A 21,438-nucleotide genomic window follows, 5' to 3' on the forward strand; every position below is an offset into this window, starting at 1 on the left:
CGGAGGCTGGCAGATCGCCTGAGGTCAGGAGTTTGAGACCAGCCTGGCCAACATGGTGAAACCCCTCTCTACTAAAAATACAAAAATTAGCCAGGCATGGTGTCAGGCACCTGTAATCCCAGCTACTCGGGAGGCTGAGGCAGGAGAATCGCTTGAACCCGGGAGGCGGATGTTGCAGTGAACTGACATTGCACCAGGCACTCCAGCCTGGGTGACAAGAGTGAGACTTCATCTCAAAAGAAAAAAAAAAAGAAAGAAAAGAATAAAAGAAAAAAAAAGAAAAATCTGTATAAAGTATCTATTACAATTTACATATGTATTATGTTCATGAATATGTAGATATATGAGTTGTGTAGCACACATACACATCATGGCACCTCTGCACTTAGACATGGATGTCTATGCATAGACATGGATGTGCAGGAGGTGAATGGCACTTCAGAGGACAGGTTCCTGTCAGCCTCTTTGGATTCACGTCCCAGCTCTACAACTTTCAGCCTGGGTGATCTGGAGCAAGTTACTAAATCATTATGTGTTTTTATTGCTTCACCTATAAAATGGCACCTGCTTCATAGAGTGGGCACAAGTATTAAATTAGATTTTATACGTAAGCATTCAGCACAGTGCCTGGTAAACTGTCAAAAAATGGTGGCCGTTTACATTTTTTCTGCATAAAAGTTTTGAAGGACTTCAGTTAATTCAGAACATAAAAGTGGGTCATGAAATAAAAGTAGCTCTATACTTGGAAGGCAAGAAAATTTGAATCTAATTCTATTTTTTCTACTTGATAGCTAATTTCTTTGGGGGAGCCATTGAACATATTTGAGCATTTCTTAGTTTAAAGCAAGCTTGACAGAGGGCGGATCCAATAAGTTCTTCATGGCTTCCCACATAGGTCTAGAAGAAACCTATGTTTTATTTGAATTGTGTTTGTGGTCATCATTTTGGAAAGCTAGTTGACAAGTGTTAAAGTATATCATAGAGACGAACTCAAGTGGGTTCCTCTCTATGATATACTTGGATTATGATACAATGGGTTAACATGATTTGAAAGTTACAGATGAGCACTGAGGAAATGGATTGTAACAGAAGATTCAGGGTGTTTGTAATTTTCAAGACTGACTTTTGCTTTAATACTTCACAGAACCTCTTATCCTTATTGACAACATGCTTAATGGTATCTTAATACTTTCTTGAAAAGATACAGTCTGCCTTTCTGTGTGAGAGGGTTATCAGGAATGGAATTATGCCAGGGAGCTGTCATTCAAAAACCTCTTCTGATCCACATTTCCCAGGTGTCCATCTATGCATCCCCAGACAAACGGAATCAAACACATTATGCTTTGCAGGCATCACTGAAGCTACTTGATTTTTATGAAAAGTACTTTGATATCTACTATCCACTCTCCAAACTGGGTATGTTCAAATTCCACATTATTGTCTTCATTTTTGCTCATAAAACTTGCTTTGATCTCTTCCCTCTTTCTCTTTCTATGTGATTTAAATGAGCACTGAGGAATTCAGTTAGCTCAGGAAAAAATAATTTGTTCCTCAGAGATGATTCTTGAGTGTAGAAAATAAAATATTTATGACATGCCCCAACAGTGTGGATCATTTCTCTATTCTTTTATCAGGTTTAACGTTAACATATCTGCATCGAACTCTTTCCCAGGCTGATCAGAAAGGGCACACACTGGAGGCTGGGACGGAAGCCAGGTAGAGGGTCCAGGAAAGAGATGGGGAGAAAAAGAAGGAACACAGTGACTGCTCTGTTCAAAATAGGGGTCCACATGTCCAAGATGCTGTGGCTCCCTGTGGCGGACATCAACGCTCTCATCCATTATGCTCCTCTTCTGTGGGAGGGAAACACACCTCCCATCGTGCTGCTCTTCTATGCCCAGCAGCATTGATTAGAGAATGGATTTTCCATTAAAAAATACATACACACACACACACACACACACACACACACACGCATTGCATATTAGAATTAGAGGGATTTCTGGAGGAATCACCATACCTTATTTGTACAAGGTCAGCAATCTTTTATAAAAGTTGTCAAAAGTTTATGTAGAGAGAGAACTGAAAACTATGCTTCCATCCGTTATCTGTGTTGGGCACTGAGGTTGGATGGTAAGACTGTGGAACAGATTTTTAAAAAATTGCAGGAAACAGATCATTTGGTTGTGGTAGTAGGTCTTTACATGAGATGATACTCATAGTCTATCTTGCTTTTAATTTTCTATCTTAAAAAATAAAAAACGTTATTTTTAGAAGGTTGTAGAGAAGCGATCCCCAACCTTTTTGACACTAGGGACCAGATTTGTGGAAACAATTTTTCCACGAAGATTGGGTGGATGGTTTTTGGATGAAACTGTTCCACCTCAGAGCATTGGGCATTAGATTCTCATAAGGAACACGCAACTTAGATCCCTCACATGCGCAGTTCACAATAGGATTCATGCTCCTATGAGAATCTAATGACACCTCTGATCTGGCAGGAGGCGGAGCTCAGGCAGTCATGCTCTCTCGCCCACCGCTCACCTCCTGCCATGCAGCCCAGTTTCTAATAGGCCATTGACAGGTACTGGTCCGCAGCCCTAGGGTTAGGGACCCCTGTTGTAGAGCATATAAAAACTGAAGAAAGTTTCATAGCATATAAAGATTAGTGCTTGGGGTTTCTGACAGTGACAAAACAATTTTTTTCCTTTGGAATTTAGGATATACTTCTTATCCTGTCCTTTTTCGCCTCTTGCCCTCAACTCCAATGCATTTTCCTTACATAAATTAAAAGGGACCATCAATTGGCATACAGTTCCAGGCTTAAAAAAATTAAAAGCTATATCCAGGGACTTATTTCGATAGTTCCTGAGTCTTACTCTGCTATTATTGTGCAGGTTCTATATACTCTTTAGTACAGATATACTAAATCCCATTTATATGTAATTCACTGCTGTACTTTAGATCAAAAGTCAAGGAAAGATTAATAACAGCCATCAACAATATTAATGTTGTTCTTGAAAAATGCAGTCTTAAAGAGCATATGAAATATCTTTAAGACTAACGGAAAAGAAGCATGCAGCTTAGGAAAAAATAGAGCAGATATAAGTCCCACTACTATAAAATCATCAATGCGATTTAGAAGAAAAGTCATTCCCACATTTGAAGTGCTAACGAATACTAATCTTTATTAGCGCTAATTTAGTTTTTGATTGTGTTATGTATACTTGTTTTTAATGTACTAGAATTAACCAGTATTAACTCCAGACAATGTAATTATAAGCCAAGTGACTTGGTTCATTTCAAACTTTTAAAAAATTATCTTTTTTTCCAGCTAAACAGAACATTTTAGCTAGCAGAACTCAAAGACTAAATATTAGCCAGAAATTTTTTAGCCTACGTGAAATCATTAGCAAAGGATAGTAAACCATGCGCATACATTTATACCTGTATATGTATATGTGTGTGTATATATATATGTGTATATATATATATATGTGTATACATACACACACACATATACATATACACACACATATACAGGTACATATATATGTATATACACACACACACATATACAGGTATATATATATATGTGTGTGTGTGTGTGTATATATATATATATATGCCCATATACGGTATATATACACACACACACACACACACACACACACATATATGGTACACACACACACACACACACACGTAATGCAAATTAGTGCATTATACCTGAGTTGTTTAAATCATTAGATTGCACTTTTTCCCCCCACAACACTTTCTTAAGAAGTAGAGGAAATATCAGTGTTGAAAAGGAAATTGAAGTCAGAATCAATTCCCAGAGCTTTTTTCCTCTGCTGTCTTAGAAGAACATGTGCTCATAATAGAGGCTATATTTGCTAGAAATATCAATCGAAATATTGACTATAGAGATGGCTCCTAAGAGGTGTTCTCCTGAAATTAAAATCATGCATCTTTTTGTTTTTTCTAAAAATAAGTTCATTATACGTTTTGATGAATCTCAAACATATTAGAAATTATTTGATACCCTTTTTAAAGTTTTCAGCAGTACTAACATAAAACACAATATGATTGTTTTAAATAAATTATTTTCTTGGCAGTAAGGCACCCAAAATATTTTCAGAGTTCAGCACTTTCAGGAAGAAAATGGTTAAATGTCCATATGTTACTTCATCTACAAAACTCTTTGTACAACTTATTCCACTTGATAATGGGCACTGATTATTTTCAGCGCAACTATAAGACACCCTGTCAATGTTAAGATATTCTTGATGTTTTCAAAAAGTCTGCTTAAATATGCTTAAAGGATCATAGTGTATTTGAGCAGAGAGCAAATTCTATTTCTGGTGTGGGAGCCATAAAACTCAAGTATGGTTGTTCTTATTTCTTAGATTTAATTGCTATTCCTGACTTTGCACCTGGAGCCATGGAAAATTGGGGCCTCATTACATATAGGGAGACGTCACTGCTTTTTGACCCCAAGACCTCTTCTGCTTCCGATAAACTGTGGGTCACCAGAGTCATAGCCCATGAACTGGCGCACCAGGTACTTGGCACTCATGACATTATCTCGATATCAGTTCAAAATAACATTATATAGAACACGACCAATCTTCCTGAAACAAAATAAATCATCTCATTTACCTCTAGAGGGGAACTTAGAGACTACTAAACCTAACACAACGTCAAGTAGCACAGTACTCAGTCTCTGAACTGTGGTGTGCATACTGGAATTTTATTACGAGAAGTAGCCATTAAATTTATCCTCTAAAACCTTTCAAAGCAAAGCCTTCAAATGTCATTTGGGAAAAGAAGGGAAGTGACTATACAGACACATGAAGCACAGAATTGGAAACCTTACAAATAAAGATTTCTACTAAAAATATTTCTCCTTATATCCCCTGGTACTCTGGCATTCCAATCTAGGGCAAAATCACTCTTCCTTCAGTTGGAACCTGTGCTTACATGGCCATAATGAAATACTTCAAGTGAAATTTGATGGGTTGATGATCCTGGGCACATACCTAACTCTCTGAAGTTCAGTGTCCCCATCTATAAAATTAAGTTAATAATAGTTCTGTTTCATAAAGCTGTTCTGAGGATTATGGATAGGGAAAGTGTGCGGATCACATAGTAAGCACTCAATAAGTATTAGTTATTAATGATGATGACAACGGCCACTACAACTACAAGAAATACTACTATTTCTTGCAAAATAACTTATCTAAGGGCCATCTATCAACACTGTATTACATACAAATGTGGAATTGTAAAACTAGGTCTATAGATATTGGAGACTATTCCCTCTATTTCATTTCTGAAAACTCTCAGTAATGCAGTAAATTATTAAAGTCACCAAAATTGTCTTTCACCAAGTGGGCAAATATCATTCTGTTGTAGAATCTGGTAAAATCTCTTATTTAAAACATTTTAACTTTATCCTTTATCGTCACCACAATAATGAGCTGTTGTTCTTTAAAGCAGTGAACTAAATACTCTGTTACACAGAGAGCCATGCTCAACACTGTGCTTCGAGAACACATGGGCTGCTTCCTTTGGTTCAAAATCTCCCCACTGGCGCATTTTAGGTGTTTTGATCATGAGTCACCAGGAGCTCTAAAGCACTTAACTGAGTCTGGGGATTTCTAATCTTTCTGCCAGTTGTTTGTAGGGAAGTGCTCTGTGAGCTCTACCTCTGAGGCTCCATGCTCCCTCTGGCCCTCCCTTTAATAGCTTCTCTTCCACGGAGATGCAGTCAAGTGCTGAAGCAGCAAACAGCACTGGAATTTTTGCCCCCACTTTTTTGTCTTCCCATTGATTACCATGTTAACATGTCACTCTGTGCATAACCCTGGCAAAGATTTCCTCATGCCAACTGTCTTAGCTTGGCATACAAGGTTCCCATGACCCAGCTCCTTTTTACCTCTCCATCCTCATCTCTTGCCTACACCTAAGCTTTAGCCATCCAAGATTACCTGCCATTTTCTGAACATGCCAGGTTGTATCACTCTGCCTTTGCTCCTACTACCTGATATTCAGCATACCTGAGTACTATTTACAAGGCTCAGGAAATGAACACTGTCCTGGCAAAACTGATTATTTCCTCCTGGAATCCCCTCTGTCCCTGGCAAAGACATTGATCTTAGCACCTGCTTTACTGTATTTATTTGTCTACTGGTTGACCTCCATCATTTGTATTGAGGCAGTGGCTATATTATATACATCTTTGTATTTCTAACATATGGCATGGTGCCAGGAACGCAGTAGGTTCTCCGTAGGTATTTACTGAATGAATGAATAAACTAGTCTTGCTAACTGGTAAAGTGGCTAGAATCAGTTTATCCTGTACTTCTTATATTCACCGGTTTTCAAATTGAGGAAACACCTCTCCCTTTCCATGAATGCCCTTCAGAAGATTGCTGCCCACTTGTAAAGTAATCTGAAGACTGTCAGAAAAGGAATAGTGCTTAAACTGTTTCTAGAAGCTACAGACTTATAATTTTCTGTTCTGTAACTATAACCAGGCTCTTCTGAATCTTAGAATCTTATTGTTGAAGCTTTGGTCCGTCTAGAGATTTTAATCTTAGAGACATACACTAGATGTGCAGTATTAGGCATATAGACTAAATAAATAAAACATAAAAGCACATAAAAGAATAGTAATATTTAAAATGCATAATACAGATCAAATATAGGTAAAGGGTAAATATGTCAATTATATTTATGCATCCTTTTTATTTGATTTATATATTTTTTAAATCTTAGACCTTTATTGTTTCTAGTGGCCCACTGAAGTAAGTCAGGGGCAGAGGTTAACAACTGAATTTGCTCTTCAGTAATATTATATAACAACCTGAGAGCCCTAAATGAATTCTTATGATTCTCCTAAGTACCTGCTACTTAATATAAAAAGATAACTTCACCCAGGACACTTGGATTTATATTTCTCCCTTGAACATCATCATATATCAAGGACAAGGTGAGATTGTTCTTATTGGGCAGGAAAGAAAAAAACTACCTCCATAAAGTGTTCCATTTTCTTTCTTAATATTAAATCTAATAACTAGGAAATGTTGGGCAGATAGAATGAAAGTCGAAGAGTTAAGGGCATTGAGAACACACAAAAAAAAGAAAAAAGAAAACCAAGCAAAAATGTGGTGGTGAGAATAAGAAGGCAAGGAAATCAGTAGAAGAAAATTGTACAGAGAGAAAAGGGTAGCAAAGAGAGAAGAGAGATCCTAACTAATAAAAAAAAAGTTAGTAACTATTGTATTTTTTGCTAAAGTTAATAATTTTTATTTGTTTAACTTCTAATAATATTGAGTTTTTACCTCCTAGTGGTTTGGCAACCTGGTCACAATGGAATGGTGGAATGATATTTGGCTTAAGGAGGGTTTTGCAAAATACATGGAACTTATCGCTGTTAATGCTACATATCCAGAGCTGCAATTTGTAAGTTCACAATTCTGTGTATCATACTATATGGTGTAAAGAATCATCAATTCACTATTAAAATTTCAAGTGAATGTTAAACAGAAAAACTACATAATGTTGTGGTTTTTGAACATATGGCATTTTGTTTGATACACGAAACAGATCACAGAACTGGATGAAACATTGAAGGTTTTAGAAAACAATCAACATAAATCTGTCACCCCAAAGTCTGTAAAGAGAGAAGGCAAACTAATACAAATGTAGAACTGTGTATGTGGGTTGAGAGGAAAGAACATCACTGTTTGTATACATCTGCACAGGAATGCTCATGGCTACTAGGTACTATAGAGAGTTCTCGGCATGTAACCTGAAATCAACATCATTGGGGGTGTACTTTTCTAGAATTTCCAAAGGGTCTGCTGGCTTCCCCAAAATGTGTGAAGGGATTTCTTCAGGTACGTCTTTTTTAAAAACGAATATAGTGGTCTGAACACTACACAAATTTGCATATCAAGGTGGTTAGTAATGGTTAATTAGGTCTTTGGGATATATATTTAGTCCAGTACACTATAGACAGACATGGATTCAAAGTTAGGCTCTTCTTGTTACTGTGTATGTACTGAATTTGTGGCTTAATGCCAAAGCTTTATATATTCTTATTTGTAAAATGCATATACCATATCTCCCTTGCAGAGGTGTTGACAGGATTGCAGATGATAGGTCTAGGCACGTAACAAGTATTCACTAAATGGAAACCATTATTTTATTTCTGTATTCAAGGGCTGGTACATGATAAACATTCAGGCAATGTCTGAAGGAATATTGGATTTGTATCTTTTTAAAGTAGAGAAACTTTAAAAAGATGTATTCCCCTTTGGCCAAAGGGGAATACATACAAGAAAAGAAACATCTCCCAAGAAATATCGATTGAAATCTTACCTCTAAGAACATCTTACTAAACCTACTATGTTTTCTATTGCTTTTACAGTGTCAAATAGAAACTAAAACTAAACATTTTTCTCCCTGTTTAGGATGACTATTTTTTGAATGTGTGTTTTGAAGTAATTACAAAAGATTCATTGAATTCATCCCGCCCTATCTCCAAACCAGCGGAAACCCCGACTCAAATACAGGAAATGTTTGATGAAGTTTCCTATAACAAGGTAGTAAATATCAGGTGCAGGTGGAAGCTCTGCTTTCAGAAGTGTAATAATGACTATAGAATCAGCAGTTTAAGTCACTGGTGCCAGTTCCTGCTACTTGTTTCACTTTTTATTTGTTCACTTTTCAGACATCACACATGTTCCGTAAAATTTAAGCTTCCTTTAAAAACATACCATACTACCATTTTCTTTATCTCTTTTTTCAACTCTTTTGTTTTTTTTTAAAGGGAGCTTGTATTTTGAATATGCTCAAGGATTTTCTGGGTGAGGAGAAATTCCAGAAAGGAATAATTCAGTACTTAAAGAAGTTCAGCTATAGAAATGCTAAGAATGATGACTTGTGGAGCAGTCTGTCAAATGTAAGTCATATGTTGGGTAACGATAGACTGTTATTTAATCTAGAAAGTAACAGAATAATTGTGAATGTTTATAAATAGCTATATATTGTCAGTCAACCATATTTATTCTGCTTGCTATGTTGTCATGGTCTATAGAAGGCAGCACTTCCCTTTTTCCTCTAACACCACACTAGGATGTCACGCTGGGGTGGCCCCAGGGGCTCACTATTTGACCTGACTTTCTTTGGTTTCTCTTCTACGACTAATCCTACACTTTTATGTTCCCTTGATCTAAAATCTTTAAAATGTTGTAATTTCTACCATATAACACCTAATCTCTGGCAAATTTTAAGGTTGTCAACTGTATTCCCCAATGTGTATATATTTGTTGAGCAAAACTAATCTTCTCTCTTATAAGAAGAAATCTTGCTCAATCTCTAGATCATTGTGCCTATATTTCTAGTGCCTTTACTAGCTGAAATGCCCTTTCTTCTTTCCAACAATTCAAATGCCACCCAACTTTTAAGATCCAGCTGAGATTTCACCTCCTCCTTACAGACTGTTCCAGCCCTCATTCGTTTGCCTGTCTGCTAAATTCTTAGCAGTGCACTTATAATCTGTTCCACATAATAGTACCCTCTTTTATTGTTTTTATTAGTTCAATAATGATAATGTGCTTAAGAACAAAAATTGTGTCTATTCTTTTTTTAATGTGATAGCACCTAGCATATGTTGATCTTATAATAGTGATTAATAAGCAGTTAATGATTGATTAAAGAACTTATGGTCTGTCTTTGGGATTCATGTAGATAATAGGAAAGGCAAAGCAGAAAAATTCAGTTAATTCAGATGATTCTAATAATTATTAAAATATTTTAAAATTTCCAACTGCAAAGAAAATAATTTTTTATAGAACCATTAGACCCAGAGAACTCATACCTGTAATTAGAAGAACCCTAAGTCATTGTAGACAGAAGAGATCCTTTCTTTTTTACAAGCACTTGTGTCCCAGGGACAGTAATAATATTGTTTAATATTTCTGCAGCAGTTTACAGTTTAAAGACACTTTCATGGCCGGGTACAATGGCTCACGCCTGTAATCCCAAGACTTTGGGACACCAAGGTGGGTAGATCACTTCAGGTCAGGAGTTTGAGACCAGCCTGGCCAATTCGTGGAACCCCGTCTGTACTAGAAATACAAACATTAGCTTGGCATGGTGGTGCTTGCCTGTAATCCCAGCTATTCGTGAGGCTAAGGCAGGAGAATCACTTGAACCCAGGAGCTGGAGGTTGCAGTGAGCCGAGATTGCACCACTGCACTCCAGCCTGGGTGACAGAGTGAGACTCTGTCTCAATAATAATAATAATAACAATAATTAATAATAAATAAAAAATCAAAGTTAAAGAATAAAAAGCACTTTCATGTTGATTATCTCATTTGATATTTTTGTGCCCTTATAAAGCACACTTATGGTCCAACTGATGTGTGATTTTGTGGTTAAAGAAACAAAATCCAACAATCAAAAATTATTTCACAGCTCCTATTTTTTACTTGCATTTCTTGAAAATCCTGAGACATATTCAAATACATAGTTTTTACTTACAAAAATACTTATAGGCCTGGTGCGGTGGCTCATGCTTGTAATCCCATCACTTTGGGAGACCGAGGTGGGCAAATTGCCTGAGGTCAGTCTGGCCAACATGGTGAAAACCCATCTCTACTAAAATACAAAAAAAAAAAAAAAAAAAATTAGCCAGGTCTGGTGGATCACCTGTAATCCCAGCTACTCGGGAGGTTGAGGCAGGAGAATCACTTGAATCCAGGAGGCGGAGTTGCAATGAGCTGAGATCACACCACTGGACTCCAGCCTGGTGACAGAGTGAGACTCTGTCTTAAAACAAAACAAAACAAACAAACAAACAAAAAACATATAAAGATGCTCTTTACTATCCATTTCCATCACCCACCGTCAGTGGTCCAGACACACTTTCTCCATGCTTCCGCTTAAGCTTCTCAGCACCAAGTATTGTGTTGCTTCTGTCTCTCATCCCTCTCCATTTCCCTCTCCCTTGCCATGTGTGTGTGCATGTATGTATATTTGTAGACATCAGTTTAGCTCCCCTCCAACACGGAAGAATCTATCATTTGGTGTGCATACTGGCAGTAGAGGGTGGGAGTTAAAAAGAAAATTTGGCCAGCAATTACCAGATCATTTTAGGCCAGCAGTGTAAATTCCTGTGTTATTTTTTGTCACATCATGCTTATAATCATCTCAAAAGATAAAGTAATCATCATTACTCTGTGTTTATAAGTGAGAAAACTGATACTAAGGGACAGATTTGCCCAAAGTCACCAAGTCAGTGAGAAAATCAGTACTTAAAATTTGTCTTCTAAGTCCAATAGTTATTCAATTATATCACAGCTAGTTCCTAGTTTTAAGAAAAGTCCCCCATCAATCTTCCCCTAAAGGTCCTAGATTTTGACCAACTCTCTTCTGACACCAAAGGGCCCTGTAGTATTAAAATAATAAATTACTGAAAATATCTTGCCCACCATTGTGTCACATAAAGTCAATTCTAATACATGTCAATAGCAACTTGAGAATGAGAAGAATTAGTTGCTGTTATTTTTCATAAGATCATTTAAAGGCATTTGAGAGCCTTAGCACATTCTTCATTTTTTCTCATTTGCAGTTGCCCTTAAGTACTGGTTATTCAAGGGTCAATTGCCAAGTTGGTACTTTTCTTAATTCTTATTTTATTCCCAGTTAGTTCGAAATATTGTACACTCATCACATGCTGTTGTGATAGCCACTGTAGGAATACCTTGGTAAACAAAGGTGTTTCCCCTACTGTCAAAGAACTTGTAATATGTCAGGGGAGAGTTAACAGTACTAGACAGAGTTGCCTACATGCTAAATAGGGGCATACATAACATGCAGCATGAAATAATAAAATAGGACCTTTCTTAAGGGAAAGAGAAGAATTGGATAGAAAATTCAACAAATTGATTCTTCCTTAGAACGGTTAATGACTTTATTGAACTTTTTAAGGAAACTTTACACATGCGTATATATAACACAAAGAAATAACTTTTGTGGACTTCTATCCCAGGTCACTGCAAACATGCCTTTTTTTCCATTTTTATGTTCATTATCATGTCTGGATGAATTATTTCATATAGCTCTTTTAATAAATGCCTGCATCCATGGCTAATGTGCACGTTCAGCCAACTAATGATGCCTACATTGCAGTGCTCTTTTGTTCTTGTTTTGTAGAGTTGTTTAGAAAGTGATTTTACATCTGGTGGAGTTTGTCATTCGGATCCCAAGATGACAAGTAACATGGTAAGGATAAAGAGAGTCACAGAGTAGAAGAGATCTGTGGAATAGCCTGACCTAGAGTGAGTATGACATACAGAGTAGCCCACCTGTCCCTTTTAAAAGCTGGAGAGAAAGAGAGCCCCCACGATTTTCTCTAAAACAAAACTGAAGGGGAAATGCTTGGGGTATTTAGGGGGACAATGCTGTTGCTACTATATTTTTGTTGTTATAGTTCGGCTTTCCCACAACCCCACTGCTAGCTAAAAATATCTCAGCGCAAAATGTTTTTGAGTGGTTACTACTGCATTGGCATCCCTTAAGCTCTGAAAAATGCCAAAATAAGTATGCTGTTAGGTTTGGAAATACAGTATATGTTTTTCTTTTTCCTTACCTCTGGGAAGTTATAGAATCACTACAGGAAAGAGAAAAGAAAGTCATCACAGGGGAAGAAAGGAAAACTTTTTATTTAAACAAAGAGTCATGCTAATCCCCTGAATATATATATACATAAATTTATATTTATTTATTTTAGACAAAGTCTCACTCTGTTGCCCAGGCTGGAGTATAGTGGCACAATCTCAGCTCACTGCAACCTCCACCTCTCTGGTTCAACCAATTCCTCTGCCTCAGCCTCCCAAGTAGCTGGGATTACAGGCACACACCACCATGCCCGGCTAATTTTTTTGTATTTTCAGTAGAGATGGGGTTTCACCATGTAGGCCAGACTGACCTCAGGCAATTCGCCCACCTTGGCCTCCCAAAATGCTGGGATTACAGGCATGATCCACGGCGCCTGGCCCTAAATTGTGTTTTCTAAAGGAAGGTTCAGCATCATCCAGTGATCAGAAACCCATACTAGCAGTGCAGCAGCCAGAGGTTTTGTTCTCCATTCACTACACCTCTATTGATATTAAATTGTTCTGTTGAAATATTTAAAGCTTCCCTAAAGACAGATATTTCCCTCGTAAACCACCCCTCCTGGATTCTACTGTTATTTGAGGGTTTTGTTTGTTTGTTTGTTTGATTTTGTTTGTTTGCTTGTTTTTGAAAGGGGTCAGGAAAGAGACTCCAGTCTCAACCTCCTTTTCACTGGCTTTTCCTGCCATGTATTCACCCTACTATATCCTGTATATATCCCTCAATTCAAGTAATTTGCAGAGAGCAGCCCTGGGATAGCCATCCCTAATCCAGTTGCCTGGATTACCCTTCCCTGAGATACCAGTCCGAGTCTTCTGTTCCCCAAGCCTTGTTTCTGGCATCCAAGGAGATGGAAGTTTCTGTCCCTCTGTCTTTGGATTGTCTCCTCTCTCTTGAGTTATCATAGTCACCTGTCATTTCAGCTCGCCTTTCTGGGGGAAAATGCAGAGGTCAAAGAGATGATGACTACATGGACTCTCCAGAAAGGAATCCCCCTGCTGGTGGTTAAACAAGACGGGTGTTCACTCCGACTGCAACAGGAGCGCTTCCTCCAGGGGGTTTTCCAGGAAGACCCTGAATGGAGGGCCCTGCAGGAGAGGTGGCTGCTTTTCTTCTTTAGGTCTAGCTTACCTCATCTCAGTTTCCTCGTTATTTCCTTAGCTTTCTCTCAGCTCATCTGGCAACTTTGTAGGATGCTAGTTCCATATAAGAATCAAAGGCCTAAAGTAGACTTGATAAGATTTAAAGAGCTTCATATAACCCGGACTTCTTTGTTCAGGAGCACCATTCTTAGTGATTCCATCAGCCTTGAGAACTTCAGTTCTTGGTTTAGTTATTTGAATCAGCATCAGGCTGGCAGTTTTTGAAAATGTGAAAGGAATATTGGATTTTCTTTCCCATACAAACAGCAGAAATTGTTATGGTATGAGATTAGGACAGCAAATGACACAAGTATTTGTGGCAGAGTTCAACTAGGTAGATATGGCTGCTCCTTTATAATTATCATGGAATAATTTTTTGCATACTTAAGGATATGCTAGTCTTAGCCTATAAAATTTATAAGACCACTTGTGGGTAGTATGAAGGATGATGGGTACTTAGGTGCCTTTTACAGTCTGTCTGAGTCTGACAATGTGAAAAATCACAGCAGCATTCTTTTGGTCTGTAACTATCTTTACTCTCTGTCATAGGTACCTGTGGCATATCCCATTGACCTACTCCACGAGTTCTTCTAATGTGATCCACAGACACATTCTAAAATCAAAGACAGGTAATGAACTAATTAGCCAAACAGGTATTTCAATGTGGAAATTAAACATGTGTTGAGCTATTTGAAGGAACGATACAATAAGTAAATCTAACAATAAAAGATTTATATTTGAGGGAAGTTGTCATTTATCCATATGTTACTAAAATAACTCTTTTAGTAAGAAAATCTGGATTTTTCATTCAGTGGGAAGTTCTCTTGCGCTTTTATCATTTAGAGACAGATTATTTACATCAAGAAATAACAGAAATCTATCTTATGTCTTATAATACCCACTAATCTATTTTTACAGGTTATGGATAAGGCAAAAAATGTTCAGTGGAAAAAAGCACATACTTTAAAATTGATTGCTTCTGGATTCAAGTCCTCACTCTCTCACTTATTAGATGTGTGACCTTAAGAAAATGTACACACTCATCCTGAGCTTCAATTTTTTCATCTTATGTTGAATAAAGACTAAACCTCACAGAGTTGTTGAGAGAATATTATAATGTAATTTTACCCTCTAGTATAATATATGCCACATTAAAAATACATAGTATAATTTTAATTTTCTTCTAAACACTTTAATAAAATTTGAGAGGTTTTCCGTCACAAAGTCATGCTTAACCTGGAGTCCTTCTTTACTAAAATGAACAAATGGATCACCTATTTACACATACATATTTCAATGACTAGTGACTAAACCTTGAGACAAGGACATCATCAAATTAAGCCAAATTCCCGTCATGCTAGTCATCTGGCTCACTGGGCCCTTCCTTGCATGTCTCTTAGACCTGCATAGACAATTTTTTAGAACAAATTCAGCAGTCTTATTCCTATGAATTAACTTATTTATTAATTTAATAAGACCATCTTTCCAAAAGAAATCATCCAGTGAACTACGAAAATGAATATCATTATGACTCTCCCCAAACTTCATCTTCCCATTGATTTATAAGTAATTTGATTAAAAATAACAGTTCTGGAGATGTTCTGAATAAGTTTGTTGATAATAAAATGCCTATGCCAATCTTATCCTCTTAGATACTCTGGATCTACCTGAAAAGACCAGTTGGGTGAAATTTAATGTGGACTCAAATGGTTACTACATCGTTCACTATGAGGGTCATGGATGGGACCAACTCATTACACAGCTGAATCAGAACCACACACTTCTCAGACCTAAGGACAGAGTAGGTCTGATTCATGATGTGTTTCAGCTAGTTGGGTAAGGCAACATTTCCTCTGACTTCATGCAAAATAACTGATTCGTAACCAGATATGCTAGACTTCAATATTGAATGTTCAACATTGGTCATTGATTTAATATGGATTTGAATGGAATTCAAACAGTGATCACTAGGCCAAAGACTACCCACTAATAACGTATTTTGACCCACACAGTGTTTATAATTGTAATCCAATATTTTAAAATGTGGAGAACTTTACCTAAAAATCCTGACCTCTGGAATCTCTTAAAAATGATATTTGGCAACTGTGGGTCTTTATCCTGTGGGCCACAGGATAGCTATAAAGGAGAGTGCAGTGGGCCAAACTCTCTTTAGGCCAGGCCTACTTTCTCCCAAGCACCAAAGTCCCAAATGGCCTGTTTCATTCACTTAGTGTGGACTCTCTAAGTATTTGAGCTTTCGACCCCACATTTAAAATGTATTTATGTTATTAGCTGCTACACCAAATACCGGTGTAATCTCTTAAGGAAAAGTACAAATATAGTCTTAACTTTTATAATTTTAAATGGGTTGTTATGAAATCTATTCATTACTTACACTGGAGAAATTAGTATGACGTTTGTAGGGAAATGAAGTAATAAATGGCTGTTTGCATTCATTCCTCTCTAGACTTTCCTGGAAGGACAAAGTGTTTTCTTTCTTTTTCTATGTATCATGAACAGAATAATGTGTGGAATGAATCAGGTCACAAGATCACCAATGGCTGGAGGGAATTGAGGACCAGGAAGTATATTGTGCATTGCAAGCTTTCCCTATTCTGAGAATTACTGTGATGCACTCACTTTACTCAATGTGACATATAATTTTCTTTCAGGAGCTTATTTAGGTCAAATTGAGTGAAAGTGACCAGCAGGACATCTCTGAGACAAAGTTTCTCGGTACACTAAAATCCTCTAGTTAGAAAGAAAAGAGGAAGTGAGGCTTAATCCTCAGTCCCGTGGGTCTCAGGAACATCTTGGAGGCATAGCTCATTGGAGGCCAAAATTAGGAAAAACACCATCCTACATATGAGTGAATGCATGAAAGGTGAGCTAAGAAGCAAGCTATTGCTAGTTGAAGGAGGTTTGCCTGCTCAAAGGAGAAGCTCTGAGTAGATTGAAGAGAAGATAGATTAACAATGCAAGACTTGGAAAAAATGGAGAATATTGACAATTCAGCAAATTAATCTTTTAGGTAGTTGTGAAATCTTTTTTGCTGTTTCTAGCCTATCCACTTAGATTGTCTAAATTTAGTAGGAGGAAATTTGCAGTTATTGATGCATTGGTGGAAAACTAATCATCTTTTCTTCACTAAGTAGACAGATTAATGAAGTTAAGAATACAAATTTTATATGAAAATTTCAAGAAGATTTCAGGTATTACCTCTTCACTTACTAATTTTTTGAGCTTGGACAAGTTTTGTTTTTTTAACCTTTTTAAGCCTAAATTTTCCAGTCTTTAAAACTTTATTACTAATAATATCCGATATACAAGGTTTGGAGGATTGCATAGGTAATGAAGATAAAGCAGTAAGTGCAGTACTTACTCAATAAATGTCAGCTGTTAACATTATTAGTATTATCTAATACAAATTATTTGAAATGTCATGACATGAATAGGAGGAGGAGATGACAACATAGAAAAGTACACTTCAAATAATGTGAAGTTGAGAAAAAGGCAGAATGTAAGTCTGTGTATTATTATGTTTGTTTGCAACTACAAATGAAAAAAATAAGTGCGAAGGGGAAACAAAAACCTGAAGGAATTATTTCAAAATGCTATTGTTGAGTGTGTAGGGTATTGAAATTATGAGCCTTCTCTAATTTCTGGTTGTTTTGTAATTATGAGTCTAATTTCTAGTTGTTCTGAAATTTGTTTATATTTACTTATATTACATTTATAACAAAAGTAATTGTATAAGAAAACAATTTAAAGCTCTCATAATAGATAAAAATAAATAATTTTTACTTGCTGTTCTTTCTCAATACTATAAACCACTTTCCTCCCTGCTTTATGAAACTTCAATTTAAGAATTAAAGGAGGCCCGGCACAGTGGCTCATGCCTGTAACCCTACCATTTTGGGAGGCTGAAGCAGGCAGATCACTTGAAGCCAGGAGTTTGAGATCAGCCTGGGCAACATAGTGAAACCCCATCTCTACTAAAAATAAAAAAATTAGCCCAGTGTGGTGGTGTACGCCTGTAATCCCAGCTACTTGGGTGGCTGAGGCACATGAATCGCTTGAACCCAGAAGATCACGCCACTGAACTCCAGCCTGGGTGACCGAATAATACTCTGTCTCAAAAAACAAACAAACAAAAAAGAATCAAAGGAACCAATAGTGATCACATTTAGTTTGGAGAGATAATTTTTTTTTCTTTTTAATTTTTTTTTTTTTTTGTAGAGACAGGGTCTCCCTATATTGTACAGGCTGATATTGAATTCCTGGCCTCAAGCACTTCTGCTCAGCCTCGCAAATTGCTCAGTTTACAGGCATGAGCCACCACACCCAGTGTAAATCAATCTTTACAAGAGGTGATACTATTTAGTTCTTTAGTGGACAAGACATTGTCATCCAAGGGCTGTCTCCAGAGCCATTCTCTTAACCACGACACGACACTGTCTCTTTTTTTTTTCTTCCTCCCCCTCCTCCTCCTCTTCCTTCTCCTCCTCCTCTTCCTCTTCCTCTTCTACTTCTTCCTCTTCTTCTTCTTCAAGGGCTTTGCTCTTCTTCTTCAAGGGCTTTACTCAGGCTGCAGTGCAGTGGTGCGATCATGGCTCACTGCAGCCTCAACCTCCTGGGCTCAAGCGATCCTCCCACCTCAGCCTCCTGAGTAGCTGGGACTACAGGCACACACCACCATGCCCAACCAATTTTTAAATTTTTTGGCAGAGATGGCGTCTGCCTATGTTGTCCAGGCTGGTCTCAAACTTCTGGGCTCAAGCAATCCTCCTGCCTCGGCTTCCCCAATTGCTGGGATTACAGGTGTGAGCCACTGCACCCAGAATGGAGAGAGAATTTGATGCAAGAATTGATATTTATTTTAGTTCGGTTTTCATACATTTTAAATGTAATTTAAAGACAGGGGTCTTGGATAAGTTGAGTGGAATTGAAATGACAACTTCAATTTGCCTATAGAAAAAGCTATATTTGTTTCTTTTAGTCCCACACCTTAAAGAGAAAACCCCACATTGGGCGCAGTGGCTCACGCCTGTAATCCCAGTACTTCGTGAGGCCAAGGCGGGTGGATCACCTGAGGTCAGGAGTTCAAGACCAGCCTGGCCAACATGTTGAAACCCCGTCTCTACTAAAATTATAAAAATTAGCTGGGCATGGTGGTGTGTGCCTTCCCAGCTACTTGGGAGGCTGAGGCAGGAGAATCGCTTGAACCCGGGAGGCAGAGGTTGCAGTGAGCCAAGATTGTGCCATTGCACTCCAGCCTGGGCAACAGGAGTGAAACTCCATCTCAAAAACAAAACAAAACAAAACAAAACAGAAAACCCAAATTGGTGCTTCAAGAATATGATGTTATTTCTCAAAGGTACAATCTAGCTGAAATCATATACAAGTAAGTAGGTGTGGACTTTTACTGTTGAGCTAAGGTTTATGTTTATATATGTTTTATTCTTTAAGCTAAACAAACATTCAGATAACATTCTATGCATTTTTTGAAGCATAGGGTTAGTAATGAGGACTTAGATTTTTTAATTAAACAACTCAGTAACTATATAAAAAGAAAAGGAGTCCCTTATGAATAAATATTAAAATTAAAAGAAATAGGCAACTATAAAAGTAAGTATTTTTAATAATGGCATTGATTTTAGTAAGAAATCAATTAGGCTGGGCTGGAAAGAAAAACTGGCTTAATATAAAGTAGTTTTAATATGTCAAATATTCTTCTTAAAATTGTGGCCCTGGAATATCATTTCTGCCTATTGCTGATGCTAAGGTATCAACTGTGCCAGGTATTGTGCTGCTCACACAGGTGGGAAGGAGTAGCAACATTTTGTGGATTTTTTTTTTTTTAATACGGCAGACTAGCCGGGCCAGGTGGCTCATGCCTGTAATCCCAGCATTTTGGGAGGCCGAGGCGGGTGGATCACCTGAGGTCAGGAGTTCAAGACCAGCCTGGCCAACATGGTGAAATCCCGTCTCTACTAATACTACAAAAAATTAGCTGGGCATGGTGGCACATGGCTATAATCCCAGCTACTCAGGAGGCTGAGGCAGGAGAATTGCTTGAACCCAGGAGGCAGAGGTTGCAGTGAGCTGAGATTATGCCATTGTACTCCAGCCTGGGTGACAAGAGCAAAACTCTGTCTCAAAAAAAAAAAATATATATATATGGCAGACCACAGAATCATGGAGTATATGGTCCAGCCTTCCGTCTTCAGGTGAAATTTTTGAAAAAAATTTCCATAAGTCTGTTTTAAAGCAGCAAGTCATCGTGATTGAGAAGATTAAAGGGACAACAAAAGTTGGTTCTTTTTCATTTCCTTCTGGTCTCTGTTCCCTCTTTTTAGACAGGAATTTAAAACATGTATAAGCCCAGAAGAGGTAGAGCACTATGTTAATGATAAGCCCAGAGGAGACACCCTTTGTTCTGGAATCAGTTTCCACATCACACGATTGTGTTATTCTGGGAGTTGGGTGTTCACAAGAATGGCTTATAGACTCTGTGTGCAACATAGCCTCCCAGAAACACACCTGAGGAGCACTTTCCAATAGTGAGGTTATAATCGTTCGTTTCCTCTACAGAAGATGCCCCAGCATTTTGTACTTAGAATAATAAACCTGTTATTTATTCTTCTCACTAGAAGAAAACGTAGAGAAGGCATGTAACTTTAGAATCTAAAAGATGAAAATACTTGTTTTGTCCTATTCACAATGATTACCGCTTCTCTGATAGGATTAAGGACAAACATCAAAGAAAAACAAGACATGGCACCTGTCCTCAAAGTTCCCAATGTACTTGGAGAAACAAGTCAAACCCACACATGAAGCAATTAGAGAATGAAATCATGTGTAAAAAGTTTGATATTATTTGGTACTAAATGTTAATATTGGCTAATATTTATTTCATTTATTAACCTTTTGCTATGTGGTAGACATTATTCTAAATGCTTTTTAAAATATTAGGTCATTAATCCTCACAACAAGCCTATGAGGAAGATAGTATTATTATCCCCATTGTATAAAGAAGGCAATAGGTCCAGAGAGGTTTGGTAATTTGTCCAAGATTACTCAGCTAGTCAGTGGCAGAGCTAAGATTTAAACTGAATGGCCCAGCTATAATGACCTACTTCTGTTATTGTTCTCTATTTCATATTTGTTTTAATGTTAAAAATATTAAAAACTATAAGATATGCACAAACCACTGACATTTGTTTTATACTTCAGTGCAGGGAGACTGACCCTAGACAAAGCTCTTGACATGACTTACTACCTCCAACATGAAACAAGCAGCCCCGCACTTCTCGAAGGTCTGAGTTACTTGGAATCGTTTTACCACATGATGGACAGAAGGAATATTTCAGATATCTCTGAAAACCTCAAGGTTTGTGTTGCTTTTAGAAAATGTATTAAGTAAATACACAGTGTCTGGAGTATCAGTCAGGCTCAGTTTGTTTTGTGTGAAGTCCTTGAGGTTAAATCTGGAGCAGCTCGGGGGACTGACTGATAGCATGTAATGGTCAATGACCCTTGTTCTTTACCATTGCCAATCCTAAGAGCTAGATACCAGGATCATGTGCAAAACATCTCTACT

At 37.4% G+C, this 21,438-nt stretch overlaps 2 protein-coding genes across 12 annotated transcripts in view, besides 2 other annotated features; one reads left to right on the forward strand and one right to left on the reverse strand.

Moving 5' to 3' along the window:
* Nucleotides 1–21,438, reverse strand: part of ERAP1 (endoplasmic reticulum aminopeptidase 1) — a 175,042-nt gene that overhangs the window by 127,077 nt on the left and 26,527 nt on the right. The gene's annotated exons all lie outside the window — the stretch shown is intronic.
* The window catches only part of ERAP2 (endoplasmic reticulum aminopeptidase 2), a 43,733-nt gene that overhangs the window by 11,906 nt on the left and 10,389 nt on the right, over nucleotides 1–21,438 (forward strand). For 3 of the 7 annotated variants that reach the window (NM_001329229.2, NM_001130140.3, NM_022350.5), the window contains 10 exons: nucleotides 1,296–1,416; nucleotides 4,410–4,564; nucleotides 7,357–7,470; nucleotides 8,484–8,615; nucleotides 8,843–8,974; nucleotides 12,232–12,300; nucleotides 13,617–13,792; nucleotides 14,385–14,464; nucleotides 15,488–15,671; nucleotides 21,072–21,228. In NM_001329229.2, the coding sequence (NP_001316158.1) occupies nucleotides 1,296–1,416; nucleotides 4,410–4,564; nucleotides 7,357–7,470; nucleotides 8,484–8,615; nucleotides 8,843–8,974; nucleotides 12,232–12,300; nucleotides 13,617–13,792; nucleotides 14,385–14,464; nucleotides 15,488–15,671; nucleotides 21,072–21,228 (1,320 nt within the window). Of the gene's footprint in view, nucleotides 1–1,295; nucleotides 1,603–4,409; nucleotides 4,565–7,356; nucleotides 7,471–8,483; nucleotides 8,616–8,842; nucleotides 8,975–12,231; nucleotides 12,357–13,616; nucleotides 13,793–14,384; nucleotides 14,465–15,487; nucleotides 15,672–21,071; nucleotides 21,229–21,438 lie in introns of those variants that run through there. The other 4 variants (NM_001437802.1, NM_001438758.1, NR_137637.2 and 1 more) reach the window with 3 other exon arrangements.
* Nucleotides 5,456–5,750: a silencer, noted in NCBI's record as "tiled region #14932; K562 Repressive non-DNase unmatched - State 23:Low". NCBI's record gives its function as "represses a minimal TATA promoter and a strong SV40 promoter by Sharpr-MPRA in K562 cells {active_cell/tissue: K562}" and the evidence as "EXISTENCE:reporter gene assay evidence [ECO:0000049][PMID:27701403]".
* Nucleotides 9,237–9,296: an enhancer, noted in NCBI's record as "active region_22822". NCBI's record gives its function as "activates an Ori minimal core promoter by ATAC-STARR-seq in GM12878 lymphoblastoid cells {active_cell/tissue: GM12878}" and the evidence as "EXISTENCE:reporter gene assay evidence [ECO:0000049][PMID:35858748]".

The sequence above is a fragment of the Homo sapiens genome, chromosome 5 (assembly GCF_000001405.40).
Source record: "Homo sapiens chromosome 5, GRCh38.p14 Primary Assembly".
Taxonomy (NCBI): Eukaryota; Metazoa; Chordata; class Mammalia; order Primates; family Hominidae; genus Homo; species Homo sapiens.